Source organism: Homo sapiens, chromosome 16 (assembly GCF_000001405.40).
Source record: "Homo sapiens chromosome 16, GRCh38.p14 Primary Assembly".
Classification (NCBI taxonomy): domain Eukaryota; kingdom Metazoa; phylum Chordata; class Mammalia; order Primates; family Hominidae; genus Homo; species Homo sapiens.
Window position 1 is genome coordinate 27,641,967 of NC_000016.10, and position 20,027 is coordinate 27,661,993.

Sequence of the window (20,027 nt, forward strand, 5' to 3'; positions counted from 1 at the left end):
CCTTGCCCCTTCTCGAGCCATCTCTTCCCCGGCTAGAAGGCCTCCTGGTATTTGGATGTAAATTGAGTAGTTTCTGGGGAGGAGGGAGGAGCATGCTCTCCTGGGAGGTATGGTAGAAAATTGCGGCACTATTCACAATAGCAAAGACTTGGGACCAACACAGATGTCCAACAATGATAGATTGGATTAACAAAATGTGGCACATATACACCATGGAATACTATGCAGCCATAAAAAATGATGAGTTCATGTCCTTTGTAGGGACATGGATGAAGCTGGAAACTATATGTCCTTTGTAGGGACATGGATGAATGCTGGAATCATTCTCAGCAAACTATCGCAAGAACAAAAAACCAAACACCGCATGTTCTCACTCATAGGTGGGAATTGAACAATGAGAACACATGGACACAGGAAGGGGAACATCACACACCAGAGCCTGTTGTGGGGGGCCTGCTGTGGGGCCTAAAACTTAAAGTATAATAAAAAGAAAAATTCAAATCAATGATGAACTTCAAAGCCGTTACAGCTTCATCCCAGTCGAGGTAGGAAGACCTCCAGGAATCTCCGGGCCTGGAAACCCCCGGTTTTGGTTATATGTTCCGGGTAGTGCTTTCCCTCCACAGCCCTAGCGCCGAGGGTAACACATGTGCTAAGACCGAGTTGATAGGGCCTGGGAGGAAGCTGCGCCATATGTGGAGCTGGAACCCAGGGCAACATGGGACACCAGGGAAGTTCTCTAATCCCAGTCCAAAGGCCTCTATAGCCCAGGCTGGACACATTGTTTTTTAATTTTTAAAAAATTTTTTTTTTTTTTTTTTTGTGGAGACAAGGTCTCACCGTGTTGCCTAGGCTGCTCTCAAAATCCTGGCCTCAAACAATCCTCCCACCTCAGCCTCCTGAAGAGCTGGGATTAGAGGTGTGAGCCACCACACCCAGCCCAGGTGGGACACATTTATTCTTCAACACGCCTGCTGGGGGCAGTACAGCATGGTGATTTAGAACAAGAGTTCATCCACAACTACAGCCCTTGGGCCAAATCTAGCCTCAGCCCGTATTTGTAAATAAAGTGTTACTGGAACACAACCGTGCCCATTTCTTTAGTCATTGCCTGTGGCTGCTTTTGAGCTGCAATAGGATTGCTGAGTATCCTAACAGAGACCATATAGCTTGCAAAGTCTAAAATCCTTCTGGCCCTTTACAGGAAATGTTGGCCCATCTTTGGTTTAGTGTCAGGCCTGTGATTAGGCTGTGCAACTTCCTCGCTGTGTGGCCTTGGGCAAGTGGCCTACACCCTTGTGACTCAGTTTCCCCCTTGGGTTGCTTTGAGAACTAAATGAGCGGCCAGGCACAGTGGCTTACACCTGTAATCCCAACACTTTGGGAGGCCAAGGCAGGTAGATCACCTGATGTCAGGAGTTCAAGACCAGCTTGGCCAACTTGGCAAAGCCCCGTCTCTACTAAAAGTACAAAAATTATCTGGGCCTGGTGGCGGGCACCTGTAGTTCCAGCTACTCAGGAGGCTGAGGCAGGAGAATTGCTTGAACCCAGGAGGCAGAGGTTGCAGTGAGTCGAGATCACCCCGCTGCACTCCAGGCTGGGTAACAGAGTGAGACTCTGTCTCAAAAAAAAAAAAAAAAAAAAAAAAAAAGAACTAAATGAGTGAATGCACCTGAGTGCTTGGAGTGGCACCCAGTGACATGGCACGTAGTGTGAAAGCGTTGATGGGTGAGCGGGGCATTGTGAACTTGGATCAGAAAGGAGTTCTGTCCAAACTACTAGAGTTTGGTAGGTCAGTAAGACTCTGACATCATTTTCTTCATCATCTAGATAATCCTTATGTTTACTAAACCTGCAGGGAATTGAATATTACAAGGGGTGAAAGGTTCTAACCCCAGGGCTTCAAGGGAAATGCATGCCCTAATTACCACCACCACCACCACCCCTTTTTCTTTTTTATTTATTTATTTTTTTGCTGCTTCTAGGACCAGTTCTAGGAAATTGCTTTTTCTAGGGCCAATTCCTCCCTAGTCCATCTTCCAGAGACATAATCTTTTTTTTTTTTTTTTTTTTTAAGCAGGGTCTTACTCTGTTGCCCAGGCTGGAGTGCAGAGGTGCGATCTCGGCTCACTGCAGGCTCCACCTGCCAGGCTCAAGCGATTCTCCTGCCTCAGCCTCCCGAGTACCTGGAACTACAGGCACACACCACCACACCTGGCTAATTTTTGTATTTTTGGTAGAGACAGGGTTTCACCATGCTGGCCAGGCTGGTCTCGAACTCCTGATCTCAACTGATCCGCCCTCCTCAGCCTCTCATAGTGCTGGGATTACAGGCATGAACCACCGCGCCCAGCCAAAGATGTAATCTTGATCATGCCGTCCCCAGCCCCTCTTAGCTCCAGAGCCTCCTATAATAACAGCCCTCGTGGGCATCTGGCTGGGTGCCAGCCCCATTCACAGGCTCCCACGGAGACCTTGTCTCTCAATTTCCTCCTGCATCATTTTTCTTTTAGTCACTTGTCCTTCTCTGAGCCCTTCTTTGCTCACTTTTTCTTTAGAGCCAGGATCTCGCTTTGTCACCCAGGCTGGAGCATAGTGACGTGATCATAGCTCACTGCAGCCTCGAACTCCTAGGCTCAAGTGATCCTCTTGCCTTGCCCTCCCAAGTAGCTGGGACTACAGGCACGTATCACCACGCCCGGCTAATTTATCTATTTATTTTTTTAGAGATGTGGTCTCACTATGTTGCCCAGACTGGTTTCAAACTCCTGGACTCAAGCAGTCCTCCCATCTCAGCCTCCCAAAGTGCTGGGATTACAGGCAAGAGTCACCTTGCCCAGCCCCTAAATACCCTTGAGTACCCCTTTTGTGAGTCTTGGAGTTCATGCACATACTCTGTGTCCTGTTCTATCTTTCAGTAACAGGGCCAGGAGAGGGTGAGGTAAGTAAGGCACCTGGAGCAGAATATTAAAGGAGGCCTCATGCTCAGATTTGTGCATGGACAGGTTGGTGCCTGAGAGTGAGACTCCCTTAAATATCACACCCTGGGCACCTTGCTCCCCTCAAGCCAGCCCTGGCCCTGCTTACTGAGTCCAACACAGCCAGCTTTACCTGTGGCCTTGGAGCAGGTGGCAGTTTCTCTGGTTCACTACCAGAGGACATGGTTGGCTGGCTTTTGGGGGCTATGCCGAATGAAACATACACCTGAGAGGCAGTCTGGTGACCTGTGCAGAGTTGATGCCGTGTAAATAGGTACAGCCCTGTGGTGCTGTGTGCCAAAGCCCCAGCCGAGGGCTCACCTGCGTCACTGCGTGTCATCTTTGTGGCAGCTCTCTGATGAAGATTCATGAGTGGTGTCTTAACAGATTTGGAAACCGGGCTCAGGGAGGCTAGATGACTTGCTCAAGGTCACACAAGGAGTAGGCATCAGAGTTCCAGGAATCACGTAGCATGCCGGAGTCTAGAACCTGGGCCCTTCACCACACAGGAGCCACGGTAACAGAAACACAAAAGTAACAAGTGCCCAGAGTGGGTTAGCAAGTGGGATGGAGTTGAGCTGCTTGCAACAGAAACTAGATTGCTGCATCTTAGAGAACATGGCTCCTGTTTTCCTCATTTGTGAACAGTGCATTTGGAGGCAGGCTGGTGGCATGGGTGGGTGGTGCCACCAGTAACCCAGCTTCTCTGTTGCGCTGGGCCATCTTTGGTGTGTGGCTTTCTTCCTCATTCTCACAAGATGACTGCTGTGTTCCCAAACATCCCATCCACATTCCGGTCAGGAAGAAGGGTAGAAGGGTAAAGGGCAGAAGTCCTGTCTGCACTGAGTCTCTCCTGATTACCAGGAAAACAGAGTTTTCTCTGAAGCTCTGCCTCGTAGACTTCTAACCACTAGCATTGCCACACCTGGATCTCGTGGCCATCCCTAGCTGCAAGGGCCCCCAGCAATGTGACCGTCTTAGTGGGGCACATGGCCACCTCAGTAGAGTCAGGCAGCTGACAGATACCAGGTAGGCAGAGAGCATTGTCTCCAAAGCTAGGTAGGGTTTGGATGCATGGAAAAGATTTGGGAAAATGGCATTCAGATTGGGAGAATAGCATAAGCAGAGGCACAGAGGTGGGAGAGTTCAGGGTACAAGGGAGGGCCAAGACTGTCACAAATAACTTTAATCCTCTTCACACTGGTGTAAGCAAAAAGGAGAATGTTTCAGTGGGGCTCGCTTCAGGTGCAGCTGGATCCAGGGCTTCTAAAACCCATCAGGACTCTGCTTCATCCTCTCAGCTCTCTTTGCTCTTTCTGTTAGGGACAGGATGGTCCCCAGCAGCTCCTGATAGACTTCCCTCTAGCTTCACATCCCTCAAGAAGAGAGCACCTCTTTCCCACGGCTCTAACAGGAATCCAGGGCTGTTCTCATTGCTGCCTTAGGTCCGTTTCTATCCCTGGACTGGCTGGCCATAGCATGTTATAAGGGTGGAATAGGTGGATTGGCCAGGCCTGCCTCAAATCCCCACCATGGGGCCACATGTGGACTGAGAGTTGGGAGGAAATTGGGCCCCAGAGGAAAACAAGGGAGGTGTTTCCTGAAGGACACAGCCTGGATGCTGGACTGATGAAGCTGCAGATCCTCGCAGCCCCAGAAGCCCTTTGTTTGGCCTAATTATCAGGTGTGTGGTTGTCTGTGCAGCAATCAGGGCAAGAAGGTGGGCTGTGGCCACATGGTAGGGAACCTTGCGTGCCAGGTACATCAGTTAAGGTACAGGTTTGGCTGCTCCAGCAGGGAGACACAAGTAACAGTGGCTTCAACAGCATGAAAGCTGTTGTCTCTGACACAACACTGCTTAGATGGGAGCACTCGCCCTTGCTCCATGAGGTCACCCAGGAACCCCTGTTACTCTGACCATCCTCCAGATGTTGCTTTCCTCCCCCCAGCACCAGTCAGCTCACTCCCACCTCCCCATTGCAGCTGGCAGAGGAAGCTGCAGGGCCTGGGGAAGCTGGCCCCTGCCCTTTGAGGAAACACCTAGAAGATGCAATGCACATCCCTCCCTCCCACCCACAGCTTGTGAGTCAGAACGGGTTCACGCGGTTCCTCTTAGCTGCAGGGGAACCTGGGACTCCATGTGCACATCTGGAACTACAGGCAGTAGAAGCAGGGGAAAGTGGACATTGGAGGGGAGTCTGTAATCAGCCACACCAGGCCAATGAGTTTCCTTCCCAAAGAACGATCCAAAGGATACTAGAAGAAAGAGAGGCCCCAGTCCAGAGTGTCTGCAGTCCAGAAAGTTTGGGAAATGTCCCATGCTGTGTTTCATTTTAGGATATCTGCAGTGTGAGTATGTAGGCCAGGGTTTCCCAAACAAGTCTAATCACAAAGCCCCCCCCTTTCTTTTATTTAAAGACAGGGTGTCACATTGTCACCCAGGCTGCAGTGCAGTAGTGTGATCTTGGCTCACTGCAGCCTCGAACTCCTGGGCTCAAGCAATCCCCCCACCTCAGCCTCCCGAGTAGCTGGGACAACAGGCACACACCACCACACCTGGCTAATTTTTTTTTTTTTTTAAATGGAGTTTCGCTCTTGTTGCCCAGGCTGGAGTGCAATGGCATGATCTCGGCTCACTGCAACCTCTGCCTCCCGGGTTCAAGCGATTCTCCTGCCTCAGCCTCCTGAGTAGCTGGGACTACAGGCATGCGCCACCACACCTGACTAATTTTGTGTTTTTAGTAGAGATGGGGTTTCTCCATCTTGGTCAGGCTGGTCTCGAACTCCTGACCTCAGGTGATCCGCCCACCTCGGCCATCCAAAGTGCTGGGATTACAGGTGTGAGGCACCATGCCCCGCCACCTGGTTAATTTTTTAAATTTTTTTGTAGAGATGGGGGTCTCACTATGTTGCCTAGGCTGGGCTCCAACTCCTGGCCTCAAGTGATCCTCCTGCCTCGGCCTTCCAAAATCCTGAGATTACAGGTGTGAGCTACCACGCCTTGACCACAAGTCCTTTTTGAGAAGTTTAGCACCTACTAGAAGTCTACTGATAAAGAATTTCCAACCGACTGGGCATAGTGGCTCATGCCTGTAATCTCAGCACTTGGGGAGGACGAGGTGGGTGAATCACTTGAGGCCAGGAGTTGAAGACAAGCCTGGCCAACGTGGCAAAACCCCGTCTCTACTAAAAATACAGAAATTTGCCGCGTGGTGGCAGGTGCCTGTTGTCCCAGCTACTCAGGAGGCTGAGGCAGGAGAATTACTTGAACCTAGGAGGTAGAGGTTGCAGGGATCCAAGATCGCACCATTGCACTCCAGCCTGGGCAACAGAGTGAGATCCTGACTCAAAAAAAAAAAAAAAGAACAGAATTGCCAACCAAAAAGTTATTTTTAAAAATTCTCCTGCACGTTCTTTGGACAGCAAGAAACAGTAGACTCTTGAGCGAGGCGGCATGGCCCATCCAGTGCTGGCCCGGATGAGGAGGAGGCCTGTGGCCCATGCTCATCATGACACCACTGCTGTTGCATGCAGGCACACCACCCCATGGTATCTATGCCCATAGATCCTGGCTGAACCTCTCCAGTGCCAGTCCCTGCCCCGCAGAGGAATGAAGACCTCATTCCACCTTATCTGAAATGGCCTGCATTTTTGTACAGAAATCTGTGCAGATCAGAACAGAAGCTGGCCCACGGCTCCACATCGAACCTCCTGTGGACTATTCTGATGATTTTGAGCTGTGTGGGGATGTGACTCTCCAGGCAAACAACACTTCTGAGGATCGTCCGCAGGTAGGGATGGCCTTGGCCTTGTGCTCGGGACACCTGAAGGACGGCGAGGCTCGGTGCTGCAGTGGCCCCTCGGGGCACTTTCTGACAGTTATTTATTCTGTCCTTCACTCGCCGCTGTGTTCCTTCACTCTTGCGTTCATTTCACACAGTTTGATGAGCAGACCTTGGGCTAGAGGTCAGCATTCAGAGGCACCCGGTGACCAGGGGTCGGTGAGGCTGGGGTCTGACTTCTAAGGGTCACTAGCACATAGTCCCTGTACAGGGAGAGAATGCAGAGAGGTTGGGGCAGAGCATGGCGCAGACAGAGGAGGGAGAGGATCCCGGAAGGCTTCCTAGAGGGAGTGACTTTTGTCCTGGGTCCTAAAAGCTGGGTAAGAGTTTGAGGGGCAAGTTGGTGAGGGCAGGCAGCAATTGCTGATGCTCAGCCTGTCCACACGTGTATACATGCACCTGATAAATATTTCGAATACCACCCGCAGGGCGGCAGGAGCCACATGTTTAAAAGCCTAGAGGCCTATGCAGCTTTGGCTTGGAGTCCATGTCGGTTTAGCAGCTTACAGGGTTGACAACAGGACATTTTACTCCCCATCCTCAGATTGCCATTTCATTCCTGAAGTCCTTTGAACTGCAAAAGTATATCCCAGTCCTTCCTTCCACAAGCATTTGTTAAGCACCTCTCACTGACCATCAGGCTCTGTCCCAGGCACCAGAGATTCAGAAATGAACAAAACTGAAGAGGTGCCTATACTTTTTTATTTTTGTATTATTTTTTAAAGACGGAATTGTGCTCTGTTACCCAGGCTGGAGTGCATTGGTACAATCATAGCTCACTGCAGCCTTGAACTCCTGGGCTCAAGCCATCCTCTCACCCCAGCTTCCTGAGTAGCTGGGATTACAGGCATGGGTCACACCCAGTGAGGTGCCTGTTCTTAAGCAACCTGTGCTCCAAAGGGGAGACAGACAATGAAGAAAAAAGGAAGAAATAAACGATGAGATCATTTCAGGTATCAGTAAGTTCTCTGAAGAAAACAGAAGAGAAAGATGGGATAGCAAGATGGTGTGGGAGAGAAGGCAGTGTTAGCCAGGATAGAGAGAGAAGGAAGGCCTCTTTCCAGCATGACATTTCAGTTGAAACCTGATGGATTAGGAGTGACCTGGGGCCAGGCGCTGTGGCTCACGCCTGTAATCCTAGCACTTTGGGAGGCCAAGGTGGGCAGATCACCTGAGATCAGGAGTTCAAGACCAGCCTGGCCATGTTGAAACCCCATCTTTACTTGTAATACAAAAATTAGCTGGGCGTGGTGGTGTGCGCCTATAATCCCAGCTGCTTGGGAGGCTGAGACAGGAGAACCTCTTGAACCCGGGAGGCAGAGGTTGCAGTGAGCCAAGACTGCACCACTGCATTCCAGCCTGGGCGACAGAGTGAAACTGTGTCTAAAAAAAAAAAGGAGTGGCTTGGCAAGGAGCAATGAGAAAGGCATTCCAGATAGAGGAAGCAGCAAGCGTGCAACGGCATGAGGCCAGGCTTGTTCAAGGAGCAGGATGCAGGCACAGTGTGAACAAGGGGGATAAAGAATGAAGGAAGATTAGGTGCACTGGGGCAGAACAGGCCTGGGCCAGGGTGGAGGTAGGAGTGGATGGTTGGGGTTTACTCCAAGGGCATTATTTTTATAAATAGAATGAGTACATCATCTCCATAGTTATGTAGAAGCAAAATTATCCAGAGGTGGTAGGTCAAAGTCAAGTTGCTAAGCCAGACCCTGCCCCGCTTGCCAGAGTGGCATTTGTTCAACTCTGGGCCCCGGCTGCATATTCAGTGACGTCACCGCAAAGGCAGAGTCTTGCTTCTACGTATCGCTTTTATGAAGTGAGAAGGACTCTTACTGGAGATGGGAATGCTGTCCAGGAAATGTTCCTCCGATTTTGCTTTCATGCTTGTACTTCCTTATTTGCTGATAAAGGAAAGACAGATAAAGAGCAAGGATCACTTTGTTTCACATCTTGGTTGTAAAATACCCGAGTATGTTGGAAATTTTTGTTTCCCTAAAACAGAATATAAAAGTCGTTTTCTATGGAATGATCCAATGACTTTGTTTCTCTGCCCAGTCCATTAAAGTGGGGTTAAACAGTAGGCAAAATTGTGGACTTTATTACCTTTAAAACTCAAATCCCAAACAACACAGACAATTTGCTTTTGAACTAAACAGCCCCCTGCTCAGGATCAGTCTGTGCAAAACAGCCATCAATTTCTCTTAATTGGGAGGCTGGTTTTTAGCCAAGCATAATATGTTACAGTCCCAGCCCCAGATATGTATGTGCCCTTCAAGCAAGAGGCCATGGTAGTTTGCCTTTGGTCAAGCATTGGGCACCTCTCGTTAAATTAACATATAGCCCTTCCTTTGTGAGCTCTCAAGCTCCCTACAACACGGGACAGCAGCATTAAGTCCCATTAGCATCCTTTTGTGCACATACTCCGCATAGGCATGGCTGCTGCTCCGCCAGCACTTAATTTTCTCCACTCTGAGTGCTTGATTATATTTCTCTCTTTTCTTTTTTTTCCCCATCTTGAGGGGGCACTCCATAAGGCTTCACAGTCAATTTCCTCTTGGAGTTATTTTCCTGCAAAGTGTAAGAGTAAAATGGCAATGCCAGTTTTCAGCAAAGGCAGAAGTCTTAAGAGATGCAATCTGAACAGGGAAAAAAAAAAAAGGCACGTGGCTAAATATACTCAGCCACCTCACACTGTTTGCAAGCGCAACCTGAAATGGAGCAAGAGGAAATGCATGTCCGCATATGTACTTTTCATCTGACCTTCACTGTTGAAACACACCAGCCTCTCGCCTTTAATCACATCTTCCGTGAAGTTCAATTTCATAGCTTCTCTGAGTTCACAGACTGGCTTGCTGCAGACATGTTCTGTTGCCCTCCACCCCGTTGACTTGTACATTGCTTTTAAAAGATGTGAATTACTAGCTGACATTTTTATTTATTTATTTATTTTGAGACGTTGTCTCACTCTTGTCACCCAGGCCAGAGTGCAGTGGTGCGATCTCGGCTCACTGCAACCTCTGCCTCCAGGGTTCAAGCGATTCTCCAGCCTCTGCCTCCCGAGTAGTTGAGATTACAGGCGCCAACCAGTACGCCCCACTAATTTTTGTATTTTTAGTAGAGATGGGGTTTCACCATGTTGGCCAGACTGGTCTCGAACTCCTGACCTCAGGTGATTTGCCCGCCTCACCCTCCCAAAGTGCTGGGATTACAGGCGTGAGCCACCATGCCCAGGCAAGGGTTCCACATTCTTATACACTAACAGTGACCAGAGCTGAGGAACAGCTGTCCCCTTACTTAGGTGTGTGTGCTCCAGTGTACCACCATCCTGGGTACCATTCCGGACACTGAGGATAAGGCAGAAGAGAAACAAGTATATAATGTGTCAGGAGACAACAGGGCTGATAAGAAAAATAAAATAGGAAGGGGATAGAGAAAAATGGCCAGGGGCTGCTATTTTATATGGAGGGTGCAGGGGCTTCCCCTTGATGAGGTGATACTTAAGTAGAGGAGAGGTCAGAGAAGCAGCCATGGGTCAGATTGCATGGGGCTTGAGGGCAGAAATAAAGATACGGGATTCTCCTTAAGTTTGAGGGGAAACCATCATACCTGTTTTACATCTCTGGTGAAAGGAAGACACCGCTTTCCAGAGAGTTCTGCCAAAGTGGCAAGTCTTAGTTATGTTGGCTTTCCTGGGCACATGGTTGTATGCTGCAATGGATGATATGTTCACCGTTTAAGTGGTATTGTCTCTTGCTGGGCGCTGTGGCTCACATCTGTAATACCAGCACTTTGGGAGGTGAAGGGTCGCTTAAGATCAGGGGTTCGAGACCAGCCTGACCAACATGGTGAAACCCCATCTCTACTAAAAATATAAAAATTAGCCAGGTGTAGTGGCACACACCTGTAATCCCAGCTACTCAGGAGGCCGAGGCAGGAGAATCACTTGAACCTAGGAGGCAGAAGTTACAGGAGCCGAGATGGAGCCACTGTACTGCAGGGGCAGAGTGAAACTCCATCTCAAAAAAAAAAAAAAAAATTATATTGTCTCTGTTGATGTATCAGGAATGAAACAAAGTTTACGTTTTAAAAAATTATGATACTTATTTTCCTGATAATGCATAATTGATATAAAAAATTCAAATGACAAGGCTACCATAAGCGATGATTATGCCACTGCACTCCAGCCTGGGTGACAGAGCAAGACCCTGTCTCTAAAAGAAAAAAAACAAAAAATCAAATGATACAAAGAAAACAAAAGTCCTTTCATAATCCCACTGCCCCAGAGATAATTATTGTGAGTAGATGGGTAGATAACCATCCGGACTAAAAATGGCATATTTCATTATATCCAAGAAGAGATCATTGATCCAGAATATCCTGGACCTGTCTCGTTCCCAGTGAGTGGTATCTCCCAAGTTTAGTTACCTCTGAAGTCCCTGAGAGCGTGATACGTGACAGGAAGACAGGGCCACCCTGAAGTCTTCTGGAATGCCTTCTGAGTGTTCTTTCCATTGGGTGGATGGTGGCATGGGGTGAGTCTGGTTTTTTCTCACAGTAACAGTTCAGTGTCTTAAAGTGGTTATTGCTGACATTTATAAACGACTAAAGACCACCATCCTTGGCCAGCCCACCCCAACCCTGCCCCCAGCCAGACTCTGCAGCACATCCCTTCAGTCTTCCTTCATTCGTTCCAGTGATGAGACTTAGGGCAGTTTCAATGCGTGGGGTTTACCACAGCAGGAACTTAGGGCAGTTCCTGCTGTTTGGGGTTACCATATAAATGACCTCTGAGTGGGTGCCTTTTTAACATTTTTAATGGTTATTTTCACATAAATGGGATTATACCATCCATGCTATTTGATTTTCCCACTTTTTTTTTTTTTTCTTTTTGAGACAAAGTCTCGCTCTGCCACCCAGGCTGGAGTGCAGTAGCACAATCACAGCTCATTGCAACCTCTACCTCCCAGGATAAAGCAGTCATCCTGCGTCAGCCTCCCGAAGAGCTGAGACAACAGGAACTCACCACCACATCCAGCTAATTGTTGGGGAGTTTTTTGGTAGAGATAGGGTCTCATATCCCACTATGTTGCCCTGGCTGGTCTTGAACTCCTGGGCTCAAGCAATCCTCCTGCCTCAGCCTCCCAAATTTCCAGATATTACAAGGCTAAGCCACCATGGCCAGCCCCATTTACTTATTTATTTATTTAAAGACGGAGTCTTGCTCTGTCACCCTGGCTGGAGTGCAGTGGTGAGATCTTGGCTCACTGCAACCTCTGCCTCCTGGGTTCAAGCAGTTCTTCTGCCTCAGCCTGTCATGTAGCTGGGACTACAGGCACGTGCCAACACACCTGGCTAATTTTTGAATTTTTAGTAGAGATGGGATTTCACCATGTTGGCCAGGCTAGTCTCGAACTCCTGACCTCAGGTGATCTGCCCGCCTCAGCCTCCCAAAGTGCTAGGATTACAGATGTGAGCCACTGTGCCTGGCCTCCCATTTTTTAAAAAAACTCAACAACATACCTTGGCCATCTTTCTACACTGGTACTCACTCAACTGCCATACAGCTCCATGGTTCAGAGCACTGTTTTAGGAGTTGGTGGCCTGAGTTTGGATCCTGGTCCATTGACTGGCTGTGTGCCAGCAATGGTGTTGATGTAGCAGGGATGAGAGTGATCAGATCCACTTTAGGAGCAAGAGCAGAGGGTGATTTAATGAGGAGAAGATGGGAGGCAGGGAGACCAACAGAAGAGCGAGGCCCCAGCATGTCTTCAGGGACAGGAAGTTGTTTTTACCATGCCCAGTTTTCTGTGCTTGTCCCTAGGATACCAAATCTCCCACCAGTACCAAGCCCTGTGGTTTTAACTTCTCCCTTCTGAATGCATGTGGACATTCTGACCCTTCAAGCAGCGTGGACAAAGAAAGGATCCTCTTAACTATTCAGGATGTGATGGTAAGATCAGTTTTCAGCATCCTAACCCCTAAGGGCTGGGGATCTTTTCCGTAGCCAAGCAGCTGTGCCTGCCTTAAGATGGACTCCGTGAGAGAGTCTAGGAAAACCACAGGGCGGGCACGGTGGCTTATACCTGTAATCCCAGCACTTTGGGAGGCTGAGGCAGGAGGATGGCTTGAGCTCAGGAGTTAGAGACCAGCCTGGGAAACAGCAAGACCTTGTCTCAACTAAAAATTTTTAAAATGTGCAGGGTGTGGTGGCATGTGCCTGCAGTCCCAGGTACTTGAGAAACTGAGGCCGGAGGATCACTTGAGTCCAGGAATTCAAGGTTGCAGTGAGCTATGATTGTGCTACTGCATGTCTGCCTGGATGACAAAGAGAGAAGCTGTCTCAAAACAAATATACAAACAAAAACCGCTGGGCTGCTACCCCCTAGAATGGATATATATATATATATATATATATATATATATATATATATATATATATATATTTTGTTTGTTTGTTTGTTTAAAGAGATGGAGTCTTGCTCTGTCTCCCAGGCTAGAATACAGTGGTGCAATCATGGCTCACTGCGGCTTTGAACTCCTGGGCTCTAGTGATCCTCCCACCTCAGCCTCCCAAGTAGCTGGGGTTACAGGTACGCACCACCATGTCCAGCCAATTATTTATTTATTTATTTATTTATTTATTTTTGAGAGACAAGGTCTTGCTTTATTGCCCAGGCTGGTCTCAAACTCCTGGCTCAAGTGATCCTCCTGCCTCAACCTCCCAAAGTGCTGGGATTACAGGCATGAGCCGCTGCGCCTGGCCAGAAGATGTAAAACAATTCACAAGAGATTTGACTTAATGATGTTACATTTAAATAATAAGAGCTCACGTTAAATGAGCACTTACCGAGTGCCAAGCACCATGTTGAGCATGTAACATCCATCACGACGTTAACCCTGTGAGTTAAGTTCTAGGGATTTTCATTCCCATGTTATGGTTTGAGGAAACTGAGGAATAAAGAAATAATGTTGCTCACCCAGGCCTCAGGGAAGCCCCTGCTGGAAGCCCAGGCTCATGACTCCTTGTTCCTTACAATTCACAGTCACAGGCGGGGAATATTGCACTCATCTGGTTTTGCTCAGAATGTGCCACAGTCTGTTGTGAATATTATTGATGTTATACCCAGGAGCAAGGTATTCAGAGGTGACCATCCATCAGTTATGCTTAATAATGTTTTAAACAATGATAGAGAGAACTCTCCTTAGCCAAATATCTCCTCAGTGAATCCATGACTGAAAATGTGGATGAAAAATGTTTTTCAAAAGCGAAATCCAGTGAGGAAACAGCCAGACAAACCCAAATTGAGGGGGATACTCTAAAAACAACTGGCCTGGAGTCTTCAGAAATGTCAGTGGCAGCCAGGTGCGGTAGCTGATACCTATCATCCCAGCCCTTTGGGAGGCCGAGGTGGTAGGAATGCTTGAAGCCAGGAGTTCCAGACCAGCCTGGGCAACATAGGGAGACTCCATCTCTACAAAAAATTAGTTGGGTGTGGTGGTGCATGCCTGTAGTCCCAGCTACTTGGGAGGCTGAGGTGGGAGGATCACTTGAGCCCAGGAGGTTGAGGCTGCAGTGAGCTGTGATCATGGCACTACACTCCAGCCTAGGCAACAGAGTGAGACTCTGTCTCAGAAAAAAAAAAAAAAAAAAAAAGGAAGAAAAAAAAGTCAGTAGCATGAGAGACAAAGGGCACTGTTTCAGATTAAAGGAGAGTAAAGAAATAACACAATAGCAAAGACTTGGAACCAACCCAAATGTCCAACAACGATAGACTGGATTAAGAAAATGTGGCACATATACACCATGGAATACTATGCAGCCATAAAAAATGATGAGTTCATGTCCTTTGTAGGGACATGGATGAAATTGGAAATCATCATTCTCAGTAAACTATCGCAAGAACAAAAAACCAAACACCGCATATTCTCACTCATAGGTGGGAATTGAACAATGAGATCACATGGACACAGGAAGGGGAATATCACACTCTGGGGACTGTGGTGGGGAGGGGAGGGGGGAGGGATAGCATTGGGAGATATACCTAATGCTAGATGACGAGCTAGTGGGTGCAGCGCACCAGCATGGCACATGTATACATATGTAACTAACCTGCACAATGTGCACATGTACCCTAAAACTTAAAGTATAAAAAAAAAAAAATCCTAAAAAAAAACACAATAAAGGCAGTGTGATGAGATCCTAGGGGTGTGAGGGAGAGGAATTGCTACATAAAAGGAGAATTTTGGAAAATGAATGAAATTTGAGATGAACTATATTATATTAGATAATATTGTATTGATGTTAAATTTTCTGAGTTTGATAGTTACATTGTGGCCATGTAAGAGAATGTCCTTGTTCTCTGGAGACACATGCTGAAGTGTGCAGGCATGAGGGGCTGTGCATAAATGGGTCAGGATCAAGAATATGTGTGTACATATTGAGAAGGAAAAAGTGGGAGGGGAGAGAAGGAGAGAAATGTGGCAAAATGTTAACAACTGGTGAATATACGTGAAGGGTATTTGGGTGTTCATTATACTAGCATGATACGTTTTCTGTAGGTTTTACATTTTTTCAAAATAGAAAAAGCTAGCACATTAAAGAGGAGAGGAGCTGCTCCAGTAGAACTAAGCATCACCAAAAGAAGAAATAGAGAAAAATGGCCGGGCACAGTGGCTAACACCTATAATCCTAGCATTTTGGGAGGACGAGGCGGGTGGATCACCAAGGTCAGGAGTTCAAGACCAGCCTGGCCAACATGGCAAAATCCCATCTCTACTAAAGAAAGCATACCTAGTTAAAAAACAAAAAACAAAACAAAACAAAACAAACAAAAAAAAAACAAGGCCAGACGCAGTGGCTTATGTCTGTAATCCCAGCACTTTGGGAGGCCGAGGTGGGTGGATCACGAGGTCAAGAGTTCAAGACCAGTCTGGCCAACACGGTGAAACCCCGTCTCTACTAAAAATACAAAAATTAGCTGGGCGTGGTGGTGTGCACCTGTAATCCCAGCTACTTGGGAGGCTGAGGCAGGAGAATTGCTTGATCCCGGGAGTCGGAGGTTGCAGTGAGCCGAGATCATGCCACGGCACTCCAGCCTGGATGACAGAGCAAGACTCCATCTTGGGAAAAACAAAAACAAAAACAGCATAGTAGGATTGTATCAATGTAGTTTCCCAATTGTGATGTTATGCTGTAGTTATACAAGGTATTACCATTGGGGGAAACTGGGTGAAGGGTACATGGGCTCTCTCTTTATTTTTCCTTACAAATGGCATGGGAAATCTATAATTAGCTCAACATAAAGAGTAAAAATTAAATAAAAACACAAATACCCAGGTCTTACCACTCAGAGGATCTGATTCTGGGTTTGCACTCAGCCATTGTTCCCTTTTTTAACGTCCTTATGTGACTATAATTTGTCGCAATGTTTGAGAACCATAGTTATAAGGAAAAGATAAAGCTGCAGTTCTCAAAGTTGGATATGCATAAGAATCGCTTAGGATATTTGTTTAAGACGCATTTTTTAGGTCTGAACTTTTAAGCTAATAGAATTTGTAGATAGGAGGTAGCACATTTTTAGCAAAAGAACTCCCAGTGATTCTGAACCAGAGACCTGAAGATTAGAGCACACTTCCAATGGAAGGAGCATCTTTTAAGTTACTTTGGACTTTTTGGCTTAGATTTGAGGACTGTAAAAAAGGGATATTTTAAAAAATCAAAATTAAAAGCTTTTCTACATTGTACAAAGTTAAGATGACCAACCAGTTAAAAAGCAACAAAAATACAGAGTTTCACCAAGGTCAGAAAGGTACAGGATGGAAGGTGGGGTCTGCCCTTCTCTTTGGAACCATATTCTGCACTTCTGGAAACCTGGAGGGGAGACGATGTCCCTTAAAAAAATAACAGATGGAAGTACAGAAGCAGATAGCCCCTAAAAATATCTCCTGTACTATAGGTCAATTTGTTTTTTGTTGTTGTTGTTGTTTGTTTGTTTTTTCAGAGTCTGACTCAGCTGCCCAGGCTGGAGTGCAGTGGCATGATCTCAGCTCACTGTGACCTCTGCCTTCCGGGTTCAAGCAGTTCTCATCCCTCAGCTTCCTGAGTAGCTGGGATTACAGATGTGTGCTAGCATGCCCAGCTAATTTTTTTTTTTTTTCCCAGTAGAGACGGGGTTTCACCATGTTGGCCAGGCTAGTCTCAAACTTCTAACCTCAAGTGATACACCTGCCTTGGTCTCCCAAAGTGCTGGGATTACAGGCGTGAGCCACCATGCCTGGCCTGTAGGTCAATTTGTATCCAAAATATTGACCATTAATATCAAAAAAAGACTGAATTATGTTCAGCATAGTCTTTTAAGAAGACAAGGAAGTATTCATATATTTTCAAAATATTTACATACAGAATAATTTGTTTAGGTTTTTTACTATTTAAATGGGTAAATTTGGCTGGGCTCAGTGACTCATGCCTGTAATCCTGGTGCTTGGGAGGCCGAGGCAGGAGGATCACTTGAGGCCAGAAGTTGCAGATTAACCTAGGCAACATAGTGAGAATTCATCTCTATAAAAAATTAAAATTAGCTGGGCATGCTAATCTGCACCTCTAGTCCCAGCTGCTCGGGAGGCTGAGGTGGGAAGATTGCATGACACCAGGAGTTTGAGGCTCCCCTAAGCCATGATCGCACCACTACCCTCCAGCCTGGGGGACAGAGCAAGACCCTGTCTATACAAAAAAAAAAAAAAGTGAATTTTAGATAAATAGAAAATTAATTTTGCATTGTTATTATATTAAGACAGTACTATGTTATGAAAATAAATATGTACCCATCCTATTTGGTTTTTCTAAGTTTGGTTACATTTTAAAATGTGGCTCAAACTTGAGAAAAAACAATGCAGAGAAAATAGAGGCATGTAGGAGAGGCTTTCTGATTAGGTATGACTTGAAAAAATATGCTAAAATGCAGGATAAGGATAGAAATACACTGAGGAATGGGAGGGAGTGTGGCCAAACTGAGGGCTCAGATTCGTGACTAGAAGGGCCAGCTTCAGCTCACAGATGTGTTCTGTTGGCCGGTTTGGTGGCACGCCATGGTTATCATTGTTGCTGTTTGACTTGGACTTAGAAAACTTTTCTTCTGAGCATGCACCCCCAGTTTGGCCTGGTCCCCACTACCTATTGTACAACACTGTGGTTTATTTGATAGTTTATATAACATTACGCCTCCTGAGGATGTCGGAGTTTGCGAGTCTTGTTTTAGGGAGGAGAAATACCAAGTGACAGATTCCGCAAGCCTGGGAAGGTAGCTTGGGTTTTTCCATAAACATTCTGGGGCCTTGGCTAAGTCATACTCCTCTGGGGCCCCCATTTCCTCCTTTAACAAGAAGCGGTGAATTAAATATCTCCTGCACCTGCCAGCTCTGAAATCGTAAATCCTAGGTATGGTTTATAAGAAAATCTTATTCCCATATTACAAAATCCGTGGATTGGCCGGCAGTGGCTCACGCCTGTTATCCCAGCATTTTGGGAGGCCAAGGTGGGCGGATCACCTGAGGTCAGGAGTTTGAGACCAGCCTGGCCAACATGGTGAAACCCCGTCTCTATTAAAAATACAAAAATTAACCAGGCATGGTGGCGCATGCCTGTAATCCCAGCTACTCAGGAGGCTGAGACAGGAGAATCACTTGAACCCGGGAGGTGGAGGTTGCAGTGAGCCGAGATGGCACCACTGCACTCCAGCCTGGGCAACAGAGCAAGACTCCATCTCAAACAGAACAAAACAACAACAACAACAAATCCATCGATGGGAGTAGACGATACATAATAGTTTGTGGAGCTCTGGCTCATATCAGTACTTTTTTTTTTTTTTTTAAGAGATGGGGTCTCACTACATTGCCCAGGCTATAATGCAGTGGCTATTCACAGGTGCAATTATAGTGCACTACAGCCTCAAACACCTGGCCCCAAGCCATCCCCCTCAAGTAGCTCAGGATACAGGCACACACCACCGCATCCAGCTATTGCTCTAGGTCTTTTGCAAGTTCAGTATTTAGGGCCTCAAACACCTTCCCCCATCCCAGATCTAAGCTTCATGATAGCAGAATGTGCTCCGTCTCATTGCCTGCTGTGTCTCTTGTCCCTAGAAAAGTGCCTGGCATAGAGTTGGTCTGCAAATAAATCTTCATTGAGCAAGTGGATTGAATGATTGAATCAATGAGTGAGTGGTATAGCTGTTGATTAGGCACCCTGACCAGCCCACACAAGGGACTTCAGTCATCACATCACTGAGTTATGATTACAGTGAGTGTTTTCCAAACTGTGAATCAGGACACATAATCTAACAAGGAATTTTTGTGTTGCTTGGGGTAGAAGAGTCAGTTTGAGATATGTAGTTTGGATCCTGAAATATTGGGATTTCTGGCACATGTTCTTAATGTGAGAGAATATTTTAAATCACCTGAGTGAGGCAGGTGGGTCAGTCAGGGCATGCAGGGAATGGTGGGGATAGTAGCAGACAATCACAGTGGACTGTCATCGTGTAGAAATATGGGCCTAGTGGTGCCAGGCTTTTTAGGTTTAAGAGAAGCCAGGTATCTGGGTTTCTGGGTTTCTTTCTTTTCTTTTTTTTGAAACAGAGTCTCACTCTGTCGCCCAGGCTGGAGTGCAATGGCATGGTCTCGGCTCACTGCAACCTCCGCCTCCCGGGTTAATGCGATTCTCCTGCCTCAGCCTCCCAAGTAGCTGGGACTACAGGCGTACACCACCATGCCCAGCTAATTTTTGTATTTTTAGTAGAGACGGGGGTTTCACCATGTTGGCCAGGCTGGTCTCGAACTCCTGACCTCAGGTGATCCACCCACCTAGGCCTCCCAAAGTGCTGGGATTACAGGCGTGAGCCACTGCGCCCGGCCTGGGTTTCTTTATGTTTGATTTCCCCCAATTATTTCTATGTTGGCAACTAATTTATAGTTTGTTTGTTTTTCAGACAGGGTATTGCCCTGTCACCTAGGCTGGAGTGCAGTGGCGTAATCATAGCTCACTGCAGCCTCAACCTCCTGAGCTCAAGCTTTCCTACTACCTCAGCCTCCCAGGTAGCTGGGATTACAGGCACAAGCCACTGTGCCTGGCTAATATATATATATATATATATATATATATATATATATATATATATACACATACATATATATATATATATATATATACACATAC

At 46.9% G+C, this 20,027-nt stretch overlaps 1 protein-coding gene across 17 annotated transcripts in view; it reads left to right on the forward strand.

Annotated features, from left to right (window-relative positions):
- Window positions 1-20,027, forward strand: part of KATNIP (katanin interacting protein) — a 230,201-nt gene that overhangs the window by 91,823 nt on the left and 118,351 nt on the right. For 8 of the 17 annotated variants that reach the window (XM_005255201.4, XM_005255202.4, XM_011545775.3 and 5 more), the window contains 2 exons: window positions 6,638-6,769; window positions 12,642-12,770. The exons of 3 other annotated variants lie outside the window; for them this stretch is intronic. In XM_005255201.4, coding sequence (XP_005255258.1) covers window positions 6,638-6,769; window positions 12,642-12,770 — 261 coding nt within the window. The remainder of the gene's footprint in view (window positions 1-6,637; window positions 6,770-12,641; window positions 12,771-20,027) is intronic. 6 more of the 17 variants (XM_005255203.4, NM_015202.5, XM_017023085.2 and 3 more) reach the window with 2 other exon arrangements.